This window comes from Homo sapiens, chromosome 16 (assembly GCF_000001405.40).
Source record: "Homo sapiens chromosome 16, GRCh38.p14 Primary Assembly".
NCBI classification, from domain to species: Eukaryota; Metazoa; Chordata; class Mammalia; order Primates; family Hominidae; genus Homo; species Homo sapiens.
In genome coordinates, this window is record NC_000016.10 from 58,407,173 (window position 1) to 58,421,707 (window position 14,535).

Genomic DNA, 14,535 nt, shown 5'->3' on the forward strand with positions numbered 1-14,535 from the left:
CCTGGAGTTTTGGGATCACCCCCTAACTGCCTCCCTGCATTCACCCTCCACTCCATCTTCAGACTCTTCTCACCATAGCAGCCAGAGTGCTCTTGTTAAGAAGTATATCCAATCTTGTCGATTCTCTGCTCAAGACCCTCCCATCTCAGAGAAAAAGGATAGTCAGTTATCCCAGCACACTTTGTTAAAAACTAATCTTTGGGCCCGGTGCGGTGGCTCATGCCTGTAATCCCAGCACTTCGGGAGGTCGAGGCAGGTGGATAACTTGAGGTCAGAAGTTTGAGACCAGAAGGGCCAACAGTGAAACCTGTCTCTACTGGAAATACAAAAATTAACCAGGCATGATGGTGGGCGCCTGTAATCCCAGCTACTCGGGAGGCTGAGGCAGGAAATCACTTGAACCCAGGGGACAGAGGTTGCAGTGAGCTGAGATCACACCTCTGCACTCCAGCCTTGGTGACAGAGCAAGACTCTGTCTCAAAAAAAAAAAAAAAAAGTCATCTTTACCCTGCTAATCTGATGTTGAATTTCTTTATTGCTTGCATGGCAGAAATAATTTGTTTCTTATTTTAAATAAAAAGTCCACCTTCTCCCTAAGAATTCTGAGCATCTTACAGAGCTTCTCACTAACCTCTCAGCACCTCTGAACCCGAGGTTTCTGGAATACTGTGCCTGAACTAGTGAAACCGGCATGCAGAAGCACTGAGTGACTCAAGTTCAAACAGCAGTCAGTTCCACTCTGTGTCTGTCTGTTCTGTCCCCCTCCCATCCTTCAAGAAACCCCAAGAGAGCTTTTTTTTTTTTTTTTTGAGATGGAGTCGCTCTGTGGCCCAGGCTGGAGTGCAGTGGCGCGATCTCGGCTCACTGCAAGCTCCGCCTCACAGGTTCACGCCATTCTCCTGCCTCAGCCTCCCGAGTAGCTGGGACTACAGGCGCCCGCCACCCCACCCTGCTAATTTTTTGTATTTTTAGTGGAGACGGGGTTTCACCGTGTTAGCCAGGATGGTCCCGATCTCCTGACCTCGTGATCCACCCGCCTCGGCCTCCCAAAGTGCTGGGATTACAGGCGTGAGCCACCGCGCCCGGCCCCAAGAGAGCTTTTGTTCTTTATGCTCGAAACAATTGTGTCTACGTGAAAATGTAATATTTTAAACTGAGCTTGGCAAAAGAAAATAACTGCAGAGGCCATATATATATTTCTCAAACAGATATTTTTGTGTTCAGGAGAAAAATCTATAAAATGTAAGGTAGATGCTTAACTGTAAGAATTTTTTTTTTTTTTTTTTTTTTTTTTTTTTTTTTGAGACAGAGCTTGCTCTGTCACCAAGGCTGGAGTGCAGGGGCGCGATCCCAGCTCACTGCAACTTCTGCCTCCGGGTTCAAGCAGTTCTCCTGCTTCAGCCTCCTGAGTAGCTGGGATTACAGGTGTGTGCCACCACGTCCAGCTAATTTTTGTATTTTTAATAGAGACAAGGTTTCACCATGTTAGCCAGGATGGTCTCGATCTCCTGACCTCGTAATCCACCCGCCTCGGCCTCCCAAAGTGCTGGGATTACAGGCATGAGCCACCACACCAGGCCAACTGTAAGAACTAGTCTAAGAAATATAATTTAAACATTCCTTATCTAGTGAAGGCAGATTTTTAGGTCATTTTATTTTATTTTTGAGACAAGGTCTCACTTTGCCACCCAAGCTGGAGTGCAGTGGCCCAATCACAGCTCACTGCAGCCTTGACCTCCCAGGCTTAAACAATCCTCCCACCTCAGCCCCCCAAGTAACTGGGATTACAGGCATGTGCCACCATGCCTGGCTAATTTTTGTATTTTTTGTAGAGACGAGGTCTCAGTATGTAGTCCAGTCTGGTCTCAAACTCCTGAGCTCAATCAGTCCACCTGCCTTGTCGTCCCAGAGTGCTCGGATTACAGGCATGAGCCACTGTGCCTGGCCGATAAATTTTTAATATTGAGTACACATAGAAACAGTTGTTTGAAAGATAATTAAGTAAATGTTCTAAACCTAAGGAAAGGTATCTGAAAGCTGGAATTCTGTTGCTAAATCTGTGTGTGTGTGTGTGTGTGTGTGTGTGTGTGTGTGTGTGTGTGTGTTTTGCTAACTCTTGATATTATCCTTTTGAATGAGGAGGAGAAAATTTCTCATCCTTAATAGTAACAAATAAAATGTACAGTGAATCAAGGACAAGTCTGGAAAAATGTAGAGTCACTCTTTTCCTGAGAGCAAATGACTAATATAGGTGACAGGCCCAGCCTGCTTTTGTTTGAGCTCATTTTGTTTTTCTAGGCTTCTGCTTTTCTGCCTAGTTAATCAAAGGAGACACAGTGCAGCCAGACACAACTTGCTTGCCAAGCAACCTTACTTTAGTATAGCAGCATTCTCCTCCTGGGCTACGCTGTCCCGTTGCCAGCCTTGTGGTCTAGGGAAAGCTGCAAATGAGGACACACCCAGAAACAGAGGTCTCCTTTCTGTATCTGCTTTTTCAAGATCAAGTCAAATCAACAAAGTAAGCATGATTTCATTAAACTTTTTTTTTTTCTCGAGGCAGTGTCTCGCTCTGTCACCCAGGCTGGAGTTCAGTGGTGCAATCTCAGCTCACTTTGACCTCTAACTCCCAGGCTCAAGCGATTCTCCCACCTCAGCCTCTGGAGTAGCTGGAATTACAGGCATGCAGCACCACACTGGCTAATTTTTTTTTTTATTTTTTGTAGAGACAGGGTCTCGCTATGTTGCCCAGGTGGGTCTCAAACTCCTGAACTCAAGTGATCCATCCATCTTGGCCTCCCAAAGTGCTGGAATTACAGATATGAGCCACTGCACCCAGCCAAACTTTTTATTTTAGAAATAATTTTAGATTTATAGGGCAGTTGTAAAGGTAAGACAGAGAGTTCCCATATATCCTTCACCCAACTTTCCCTAACGTCCTACATAATCATGGTACATTTATCACCACTAAGAAGTTAACATTGCTACAACACTTTTAACTAAACCATGGGCTTTATGCAGATTTCAACAGATTTTCCATAAATGTCCTTTTCCTGTTTCAGAATCCAATCCAAAGTCCCACATTGCACTTAGAGGGCAATTATTTTTTAAAGCAAAACTGCATCAGACTCTTTGCTACGTTAATTCAGTAGCTCAGCTTATTGGAAAGGTGTCACTGCATTAAGGCAGGCGCACTGGGGCCAGTTGGAGCTTGCATAGGATGAAACTACTGGTAAGCTCATCAAGAAGAGAAAGAATATTTGCTTTTCTTTCTTTTTAATTTAATTTAATTTTTTATTTTTATTTATTTATTTGTTTGAGATGGAGTCTTGCTCTGTTGCCTAGGCTGGAGTGTAATGGCACAATCTCAGCTCACTGTAACCTCTGCCTCCCGGGTTCAAGCGATTCTCCTGCCTCAGACTCCTGAGTAGCTGGGATTACAGCTGTCTGCCACCATGCCTGGCTAATTTTAACATTATTAGTAGAGATGGGGTTTTGCCATCTTGGCCAGGCTGGTCTTGAACTCCTGACATCAGGTGATCCACCCGCTTCGGCCTCCCAAAATGCTGGGATTACAGGTATGAGGCACTGTGCCTGGTCGAATATTTGCCTTTCATTGAAATTTTTACTTTTCCCCTAGTACTTGCGACTGACGGGAAAAGGCCTCTGATTTTACTTAGAACTTTTAGCATTCTTTCTCTTTGACAGCAATAACTTGATTTTCTTCTCCTTTCTCTTCTGGCACTCTCTAGCTAATTTTCTCTGTGTCTAAATGAGTTTAAAACAAGCATGGCTTTCTACACCAACATGATTAAGTGTCAGCATAGCTCTGAAAATAGTGCCTGGGAACTGCCAGTGTTTCAGAATTCATAATGGTGCACATGGAATCAGCTCATCCTGCAAACATCTCCCACCCGTGGCTCAGGACAAAGAAAAAATCAGGCCGAGCGAGGTGGCTCCTGCCTATAATCCCAGCACTTTGGGAGGCTGCAGCAGGAGGCTAGCTTGAGCCTGGGTGTTTGAGACCAGCCTGGCCAACATGGTAAGACCTCGCCCCTGCAAAAAATAAAACATTAGCTGAGCGTGGTGGCTCATGCCTGTGGTCCCAGCTACTCAGGAGGCTAAGATGGGAGGACTGCTTGAGCCCAGGGAAATTGAGGCTACAGTGAGCAGTGAGAGCGCCACTGAACTCCAGCCTGAGTGAAGGGAGTAAGACCCTGTCTCAAAAAAACAAAAAGAAAAAGAAAAGAAAGAAAAGGAAAGAAGAAAGAAAAAAGAAAGAAGAAAGAAAAAGAGAAAGAAAAAGAAAGAAGGAAGGAAGAGAGAAAGAAAGAAAAAAGAAAAAGAGAAGAAAGAAAGAAAGAAAAGGAAGGAGGGAGGGAGGGAAAGAAGAAAAAGGAAGGAAGAGAGGAAGGAAGGAAGGGGGAGGAAGGAAGGGAGGAAGGGAGAGGAAGGGAGGAAGGGAGAGGAAGGGAGGAAGGAAGGGAGAAAGAAAAAAAGAAGAAAGAACCCAGAGTTTCAAGCCTTTACAGCGCTTTCTGCTCCTGTATCACCCTTGAGAGAGAAGTTTATTTCCAGGTTTAAAAAAAAAAAAAGTTTATTTGATTCTCACATGACTTGTATGTCTCCTTTTGTACAACAAAAATTCTTCCTTGAGGGCATTTTCTTTTCTTTGGACACAGGAAAGCAAACAGGTAGCTAAGGAGTATAGATTCAAGTGCAGCAAATGAGGCACATACAAGAAAGTGTCATTCATTGAAGGGAAAGTAGGCAGGCGCGGTGACTCACCTGTAATCCCAGCACTTTGGGAGGCTGAAGTGGGTGGATCACTTGATGTCAGTAGTTTGAGACCAACCTAGCCAACATGGTGAAACCCTGTGTCCACTAAAAATACAAATATTAGCCAGGCGTGGTGGCATGCGCCTGTAGTTCTAGCTACTTGGGAGTCTGGGTTACGAGAATTGTTTGAACCTGAAAGGCAGAGGTTGCAGTGAACAGAGATCACACCACTGCACTCCAGACTGGGCCGCAGAGTGAGGAAGAGTTAGTCTTCAAAAAAAAAAAAAAAAAAAAGAAGAAGAAGAAAGAAAAGAAGAAGAAGAAGAGGAGGAGGAAGAAGAACAAGAAGAAGAAAGAAAGAAGAAAGAAGAAGAGAAAGAGGAAGAAGAAGAAGAGAAAGTGTGCTTGGGATTTGTTTTGAGGCTTGTTAGACTGGAGGCAGACACTGGTATTAAAAGCCAGCATTACCAGTCATGGAGGAGAGAGATGTCAATGGTTGTTCCCAGAGAGTGGCCTTATCTTAATAGGACCGAGAGGACTTAGCACTCAGCTATCTCTTTGGTTCAGGAGCAGAACATTTTAAAAACTGTTTCAAAGGACACTTGTTTTCTAATTTAGCATTTCATGTTCACTCTGATTTCTTTATCTGAGATGCTAGGTAAACATGCAGTAATGTGCTGCTTTTTATTTATTTATTTATTTATTTATTTATTTACTTTTTTTTTTTTTTGAGGTGGAGTCTCACTCTGTTTCCCAGGCTGGAGTGCAGTGGCGCGATCTCGGTGCACTGCAACCTCCACATCCCAGGTTCAAGTGATTCTCCTGCCTCAGCCTCCTGAATAGGTGGGACCACAGGTGTGAGCCACCGTGCCGGCATGCTTCTTTTTAAATAGTTCAGCAGTCTAAGAAGTCTTTTCCCAGGTTTTGAGCCAGCTCAGACCTTGATCAACATTTCAGAGGATCCTACCACCTGAATTCCTAGATCATTTTAAAGATTTTTAGGGAGTGGGGATCCATATAACACATCATGTTTGTGTATGGCCAGGATTGAAAATCCAGTTCTCCAATGTTTAAGGCATTTTTTCAAAAGAAATCAATAAAAACTAAAACCTCACTCCATTTTCAAAGACTCTAATTTTCATAGACAAAGCAATCCTCCCACCTCAGCCTCCCGACTAGCTGGGACTACAGGTGCATGCCACCACGCCTGGCTTATTTTATTTATTTAGAGACAGGGTCTTGCTATATTACCCAGACTGGTCTTGAACCCCTGACCTCAAGGGATCCTCCTGCCTCAACCTCCAGGAGTCACTGGGATTACAGGCATGTGCCACCATGCCTGGCTAATTGAAAAAAAAAAAAAATTAAAGAACCTTTGTGATTTTAAAGGGTTCTTCTGCCACTTCAAATAGAAAAAAAAATAGAAGAACAATGTGTCACAGGTTGTTGTATACTTATCTGTGGAAAGAACAAAGTGTTCAGCTGCGTTAAATGGAGATGAAACTATTGCTTTGCTTAATTACAGCTCATGCATACCCACCTCCTCATGTCATCCACATGATGTGGCAAGGTCCCTCAGGGATTCACGTCTCAGAGCAAACCTCACAGGAAAGAGGTTACATCTTCAAGCCCCTGACAGTCATTCGCTGCAAAATCAAATAAACTGATACAAGGGTAGCCACATGGTGGAGGCTGTGGAGATGTTATCAAATCTCCCTAAACTGAGAGCGGCTACACAGCGGCTCAGAAATCATAGCCTAGAGTCGAAGGGGCCCAGAAGGATGAACTATTCCAGGGCTGTTAAAAATATGTATACTTTTTGGCCAGGCGTGGTGGCTTATGTAATCCCAGCACTTTGGGAGGCCAAGGCAGATGGATCACCTGAGGTCAGGAGTTCGAGACTAGCCTGGCCAACATGGTGAAACCCTGTCTCTACTAAAAACACAAAAATTAGCTGGGCGTGGTGGCTTGTGCCTGTAGTCCCAGCTACTTGGGAGGCTGAGGCATGAGAATTGCTTGAATCTGGCTGGCAGAGGTTGCAGTGAGCCGAGACTGCGCCATTGCACTCCAGCCTGGATGACAGAGTGAGACTCGGTCTTAAAATATATGTGTATATATATACACACAGACACACATACACACATACATATATACACACACACATATCTATACACACACACACATATATATATACACATATATATACTTTTTATTATTTTACATTTGATACATGCCAAGAATATATGTAACATATCTGTATGTTATGAAGTGGTGTAATACAATGAACACCCACCAACTTCCACTAATTTAAGTTGAGAACATGATCATTGCCTCCTGCATAGTTTCTCTGCTACCCTCTACCCCCAGAGTAATCATTATCCTGGATTTTATATTTATTACTTCCTTAGTTTTTATATCTAGTGAATATATTATTTTGGTGGTGTTTTGTTTTGTTTTGTTTTGTTTTGAAATGGAGTCTTGCTCTGTCACACAGACTGGAGTACAGTGGCATGATCTTGGCTCACTGCAACTCTGCCTCCTGGGTTCAAGTGATTCTCCTGCCTCAGCCTCCCGAGTAGCTGGGATTACAGGCGCACACCACCACGCCCAGCTAATTTTTGTATTTTTAGTAGAGATGGGGTTTCACCATGTTGGCCAGACTGGTCTTAAACTCCTAATCTCAGATGATCTACCTTCCTCGGCCTCCCGAAGTGCTGGGATTACAGGGATGTGCCACTGCACCTGGCCTGATTTTTTGTTTTTTGGTTTGTTTTTGAGACAGAGTTTCACTCTTGTTGCCCAGGCTGGAGTGCAATGGCGCAATCTCGGCCAATGCAATCTCTGCCTCCTGAGTTCAAGCGATTCTCCTGCCTCAGCCTCCCAAGTAGCTGAGATTACAGGTGTGCGTCACCACGCCTGGCTCATTTTTGTATTTTTAGGAGAGATGGGGTTTCACCATGTTGGCCGGGCTGGTCTCAAACTGACTTCAGGTGATCCACCCGCCTTGGCCTCCCAAAGTGCTGGGATTACGGGCGTGAGCCACCGTGCCAGGACTGGTTTGTTTTCAAACTTTGTAAAACTAAGTTCCTGTTGCATGCAGTCAGCTGCATCTTGCTTCTTTCACTCAATTTTAATTTTCAATCATGTCATCGCAGCTCATTTTTACTGCTGTATATTATTCTATTGTGGGAACATGCCACAACTTCTATAAGTGTTCTCTTATCAGCAGACATTTGGTCCATTTCCAAGCTTTTTTTCTATTACAAACATTGTCACTGTGCGGATTCTTACACAGCATGCATTCCTCTGGGATGAACGCCCAAGTGAAAGTGCTGGCTTATAGGGTCTGCCAGTGCTCTACTTCACAAGCTTCCGCCAAATCACATGACTTTATTCACCCATCAACAGTGTATAAGAGTTTCCATTATTAGAATTCTTTTTTTTTTTTCCAATTTAATGGGTATTAAAAAATATCTCACTGTGGCCGAGCACAGTGGCTCACACCTATAATCTCACTACTTTAAGAAGCCAGTGGGAGGATTGCTTGAGACCGGTCTGGGAAATATAGCAAGACCCCCATCTTTACTTTAAAAAAAAAAAAAGCCAGGCATGGTGGGATGCACCTGTGGTCCCAGCTACATGGGAAGCTGAGGCAGAGGGACTGCTTGAGTATAGAAGCTCAGGGCTACAGTGAGCCTTGATCATACCACTGCACTGCAGCCCGGGTGACAGAATGAGACTCTATCACAAAAGAATTTTTATATATAAATTTATATATATAAATGTTATTCTGATTTGCGTTTTTCTGAGTACTAATGAGTTGCACATTTTAAAATATATTCATTGGCCATTTATGCTTCCTCTTTTGTGAAATGCCTGTTTACATGTTTTGCCCATTGTTCTACTGGATTGTTTATCTTCTTTTTACTGATTTATAGGTGATCTTTTTTTTTTTTGGAGACAGAGTCTTGCTCTGTCACCCAGGCTGGAGTGCAGTGGCGCCATCTCAGCTCACTGCAACCTATGCCTTCAGGGTTCTAGCGATTCTCCTGCCTCAGCCTCCTGAGTAGCTGGGATTACAGGTGCCTGCCACAACGCCCAGCTAATTTTTGTATTTTTAGTAGAGACAGGATTTCACTATGTTGGCCAGGCTGGTCACAAACTCCTGACCTCAGGTGATCCACCCACCTCGGCCTGCCAAAGTGCTGGGGTTACAGGCATGAACCACCGCGCCTGGCCAGTATAGGTGTTCTTTATACTAATCCTTTGTCAGTTATCTGTGTTGCAAAATTCTCCCATTCTGTAGCTTGTCTTTTAATTTTCTTTGTAGTATCTTTTTTTATTTTTCCTTAGAAACAAGGTCTCCCTGTGTCACCCAGGCTGGAGTGCAGTTGTGGGATCATAGCTCATTGCAGCCTTGAACTCCTAGGCTCAAGCAGTCCTCCCACCTCAGCCTCCCGACTAGCTGGGACTATAGGTACATGCCACCACACCTGACTTCTTTTACTTATTTAGAGACAGAATCTTGCTGTATTTCCCAGGCTAGTCTTGAACTCCTTGCCTCAAGTGATCCTCCTGCCTCAGCCTCCTGAATCACTGGGATTACAGGCATGCAACACCACACCTGGCTAAATTTTTTTTCTTTTTTTTTCTGTATTTTTTTTATTATTATATTTTAAGTTCTAGGGTACATGTGCATAACGTGCAGGTTTGTTATATATGTATACATGTGCCATGTTGGTGTGCTGCACCCATTAACTCGTCATTTACATTAGGAATATCTCCTAATGCTTTCCCTCCCCCCTCCCCCCACCCAACAACAGGCCCTGGTTTTAAAATATATTCATTGGCCATTTATGCTTCCTCTTTTGTGAAATGCCTGTTTACGTGTTTTACCCATTGTTCTACTGGATTGTTTATCTTTTTACTGATTTACAGGTGTTCTTTTTTTTTTTTTTTTTTTTTTTTTTGTGGAGACAGAGTCTCACTCTGTCACCCAGACTGGAGTGCAGTGGCGCCATCTCAGCTCACTGCAACCTACACCTTCCAGGTTCTAGCCATTCTCCTGCCTCAGCCTCCTGAGTAGCTGGGATTACAGGTGCCTGCCACAATGCCCAGCTAATTTTATATGTATTATCTCATTTAATTTCCACAAAAACCCTAAGAGATGAATTATTGTTATCCCCCTTTTACAGATAAAGAAATAGACTCAGTGAGGTTAAGTGTGTGCCGAAGGTCACACAGCAACCAGTGCTGGGCCCAGGGCTGGAAACCAGGTCAGGCTGATCCTGAGATCCGACTCTTCTCTGCTCTGCTGCACTGTGCGATGAGCAACAGAGCAGGCCAGGGCAGCCTCTTCCCACCGCACTATCAGGTGTCTCTCGCTTCAGTCCTGGTCCTCCCAACACCGTTTCTATAGGACTTGCCATCCCCTCTTCCCACCGCACTATCAGGCGTCTCTCGCTTCAGTCCCGGTCCTCCCAACACCGTTTCTATAGGACTCGCCATCCCCTCTTCCAACCGCACTATCAGGCGTCTCTCGCTTCAGTCCTGGTCCTCCCAACGCCATTTCTATAGGACTCGCTATCCCTTCTAAGTGTCTCCTTTGGCAAAATTGGCCCAACCTATGCCTATGTCATATCACCATTATCTGCAGTAAAAACAGGACTCCTCCTTCTGTTTCAAAAGACTGCTCATGTCATTGACAACCCGTGCTCATTCTCGAGATTGCAAGCTGCTATTTTTGAAAAGTTATTTTGCATGACATTTTGCCTCAGGGGCCCTTGGTCTGTTTAATCTGGGTATCTCAGTTGGCAGAACACTGTGTGGCTCTCCGGATTGATTACATGTGTCTAATCTGCAGCTCTGGCTGTTGCAAAAACTCCCTTGCCTCCTTCTCTCTGCCTCACCCCCAACTGCCTTGCTCAAAACAGGTGATGGGTGGCTCATGGTTGGTCCGGAGGAAGGGGGAATCCGAGAAAGCAGAGGCTACACAGTTCAAACAGTCCCCTGCAGGGCAGGCTTGGCTGTTTTCTGGCTTCTTCTGCTGGGAATTTCACTGACAGCAGAAATTAATCCCACTTATTCACTCATTCATTCGCCCCTCCAGTGAGGGTCTGAAGTCAGGAGTGGAATGGTCATCCCTCACTGCCCTGTGGAGTTTACACTGTAAAGGGCAAGGCGGACTATAAACGGGATTACAATAAGATCTGTGAGGTGAATTAAAGGGCATGTGTAAATAAAGACAGAGTCTCGCTCTGTCACTCAGGCTTGAGTGCAGTGGCACAACCCTAGCTCACTGCAGCTTTGAACTCCTGGGCTCAAGCGATCTCCACGCCTCAACCTCCCAAGTAGCTAGTACTACAAGTGTGTGCCACCACATCTGGCTAATTTTTCTTGTTCTTAATTTTTATAGAGACGGAGTTCTCACTATGTTGCCCAGGCTGGTCTAGAACTCCTGGCTTCAAGCAATCATCCCACCTCAGCCTCCCAAAGATTGGGATTACAGGTGTGAGCCACTTTGCCCGGCTTTCAGGGACCTTCTTTAGTGAGTCCAAAGAGGGGCTCTCTGAGGAAAGATGCAGAGCTGGCTGGGTGAAGAGCCCAGAGGAGGTCATCATTCCAAGCAGTGAGAGGAGGTGAGAAGTGTGTGGCTTGGTTGGCCTGCTTTAAGAAACAAAAGCAGGCCTGGGTGGCAGAGGTGTGGATGAGAGTGACAGGAGATGAGGGAGTGGGGAGGAGGCAGAGAGCAGATCTTTTGAGGCATGAATATGATAGAGCTGGCCGTAGGGGTGGAGCTGACAGTCAGGGAGTGGGAGGACATTATTAGATCATCACAAGTGTGAGCCCAGGACGGGCCATACACATTGCCTTGAGAGCCTTTGGCAGGGCCACCTTCCAAGTCAGGCTGTGTGTGACTGGAGGGCCTCCGGGGAAGGTAACTTTTAAGCAAAAGTCCATAACAGGAACTGGCTGCAGTGACTCATGCCTGTAATCCCCCTGCACTTTGGGAGGCCAAGATGGATCACTTGAGGTCAGGAATTCGAGACCAGCCTTGCCAACATGGCAAACCCCGTCTCCACTAAAAATACAAAAAATAGCCAGGCATGGTGGTGTGGCCTGTAGTCCCAGCTACTCAGAAGGCTGAGGCAGGAGACTCACTTAAACCCGGGAGGTGGAGTTTGCAGCGAGCCCAGATCATGCCACTGCACTCCAGCCTGGGTGACAGACCAAGACTCCGTCTCAAAAAAAATAAATAAATAAACCCACCACAGTGGTTCTCAAAGGTGTGGTCCCCAGGCCAGCTGCATCAGCACCACCTGTGAATTTGCTAGAACTACAGATTCCAGCGCCCACCCCAGACCTACTGAGTCCTCCAGAGCACAGAGCACGGAGCCTAACACGTGCTGAATTCATGGCCTCCGAATTGCAAGCTGTCAAGTTCCAGAGTGTGCTGACGTGTTAAGATGCACAGAGTCGTGTCATGGGGACACACCCTAGCCAGCAGGTTGTGCCCACCCCGGCGTGGAATGAGGACAGAGCCCAGCTTGGGTGGGTTTAGCTGATTTTAAGGTGCCAGGGTAGAAACAGAAATGCGTCTGCACAGCTGTGCTGGGTGAAATTTCACACTTGGCAAGGTGTGAACAGAATTAACATTTGCTGGAACAGGTTGGAAGCCTTTAGACTGTGAGTTACAAAATCAGGCAAAGAAAGAAAAAAAAAGGAAGGGGGAAAATTAGGTGATCTTCAACCTCATTAACTCAAGCCCAGCTGCAGAGGATGTTACCAAATTATCCACTAAGAAAACCCACCTGGGGCTGAGAATAAGCCTGAGACTTCAGGCCCCAGGGGTCCTTTTGAAAAGAAAGTTCTCCGCCTGAGAACAGTTGCTCTCACGAAAGCGCCTCCTCCACAGCCCCTGCAGAGCATCAGGCCTCGACACTTTAATTGCTCCGATAGAAACAAGCTAATGGGGTTTTAATAAAAATAGAACCCAAATAGGCGTTGATCCCCTATTTTTTGCAACCAGAGGCACTGCCACAGTTTCAGTGCCATCGGTGCTAGCTAGGGGGGTCTCCATGCCATGAGACCCTGGTGAGAATTAAATAAGGAAAACAAGCTTATGGATTCGATATTTTGAGAGCTTCAACAAAAACCAGAACTCTGTCAACAACAGCCTGGTTTATCCTAGGTCCAGGGAAAAACAGGTCAAGACACATGCCCCAAATCACTAAAGGCAATAAAAGCTTGGTAGGGGTAGGGGTGCCCGCGGTCCTGCTCCCCAGCACTGGAGTGAGCAGGACACTGGCTGCCCCTCAAGATAATTTGAATCTTCAAAAAGTAAGTAAGATGTCCGTTTTTTTGGCCAGGTGTGGTGGCTCACGCCTGTAATCCCAGCACTTTGGGAGATGGAGGAGGGTGGATCACCTGAGGTCAGGAGTTCAAGACCAGCCTGGCCAACATGGCATAATCCTATCTCTACTAAAAATACAAAAATCAGGTGGGCATGGTGGCTCACACCTGTAATCTCAACTACTCAGGAGGCTGAGGCATGAGAATGGCTTGAACCCAGGAGGCAGAGGTTGCAGTGAGCCGAGATTGCGCCACTGCACTCCAGCCTGGGCGACAGAGCAAGACGCTGTCTCAAAAAAAAGTCCGTTTTTAGTGCATCTGTAGTTTCAGGTAGGATCATTTAGTAATTAGGGGTCCAGGCTCTGGGCTGGGAGCCCCCAAGTTCAAACCCCAGCTTTGCCATTTTGGAGCCACGTGACGTGGGAGTACGGTGCTTAGCTCAGTGCCCCACTTTCCTCATCTGTAAAACGGGAACCATGATTATACTCACCTGGTAGGATTTTGAGGTGCACTAAATGGGTTCTATGTAAAATGCTTAAAGCAGTGTCCTGCACGTGGTAAGCCCTTGAGTAATGCTGGCTAGTGGGGGAGATCGGGAATAAACAAGTAACAATGAGGATTTCAGACAGGGATAGAACCATGAAGAAGACAAGCAGGCTGAGGTGGTAAATAATGGGGGCAAGAGGGGTGGCTGCACTGTAAGAAGGGCCCTCTGGGTAGTCTGTGGAGCCACCGGACACACAGAGGCCTGGAGCATCCAGGCAGGGGAGCCAGGAAGCCAAATCTTTAAATGGGGAACAGTGTAGGCATTCCAGGCTGGAGAAGGATGGTGATATAGTTTGACGATGTCTCCACCCAAGTCTCATCTTGAATTGTAGTTCCCATAATCCCCACGTGTGGTGGGAGGGGCCCCGTGGGAAGTAATTTAATCATGGGGGCGGTTTTCACCGTGCTGTTCTCGTGATAGTGAGTGAGTTCTCACAGATCTGATAGTTTTATAAGGGGCTTTCCCCCTTTTGCTTGGCACTTCTCTTTCCTGCTGCCATGTGAAGAAGGATGTATTTGCTTCTCCTTCTGCCATGATCGTAAGTTTCCTGAGGCCTCCCCAGCCATGTTGAACTGTGAGTCAATTAAACTGCTTTCCTTTATAAATTACCTAGTCTCGGGTATGTCCTTATAGCGGTGTGAGAACAGACTAATACAGATGGCCTTGGGAAACCAGGACACCCCCCTTGGGAGGCTTCTGTGATAAAGGAGGTGAGAGATGAAGGTGCCTGGGGCCAGAGGGAGAACTGTGGGGATGTCAAGAAGTGAAGGGAGCCAAGAGGATGTGGTGACGACAGGATTCCAGATGACTTGCAGGCTTGTGGCTTCAGAGCTGGGATGAGAAAGCCCCGGGAGAAACAG

The 14,535-nt window shown here is 45.9% G+C and overlaps 1 long non-coding RNA gene across 1 annotated transcript in view, besides 1 other annotated feature; it reads left to right on the forward strand.

Moving 5' to 3' along the window:
• Positions 10,696 to 10,805: an enhancer, noted in NCBI's record as "active region_10926". NCBI's record gives its function as "activates an Ori minimal core promoter by ATAC-STARR-seq in GM12878 lymphoblastoid cells {active_cell/tissue: GM12878}" and the evidence as "EXISTENCE:reporter gene assay evidence [ECO:0000049][PMID:35858748]".
• LINC02137 (long intergenic non-protein coding RNA 2137) overlaps positions 14,154 to 14,535 on the forward strand; it is a 41,536-nt gene continuing 41,154 nt past the window's right edge. Inside the window, exon 1 of the long non-coding RNA NR_187253.1 lies at positions 14,154 to 14,249. This is a non-coding gene — a long non-coding RNA (long intergenic non-protein coding RNA 2137). The remainder of the gene's footprint in view (positions 14,250 to 14,535) is intronic.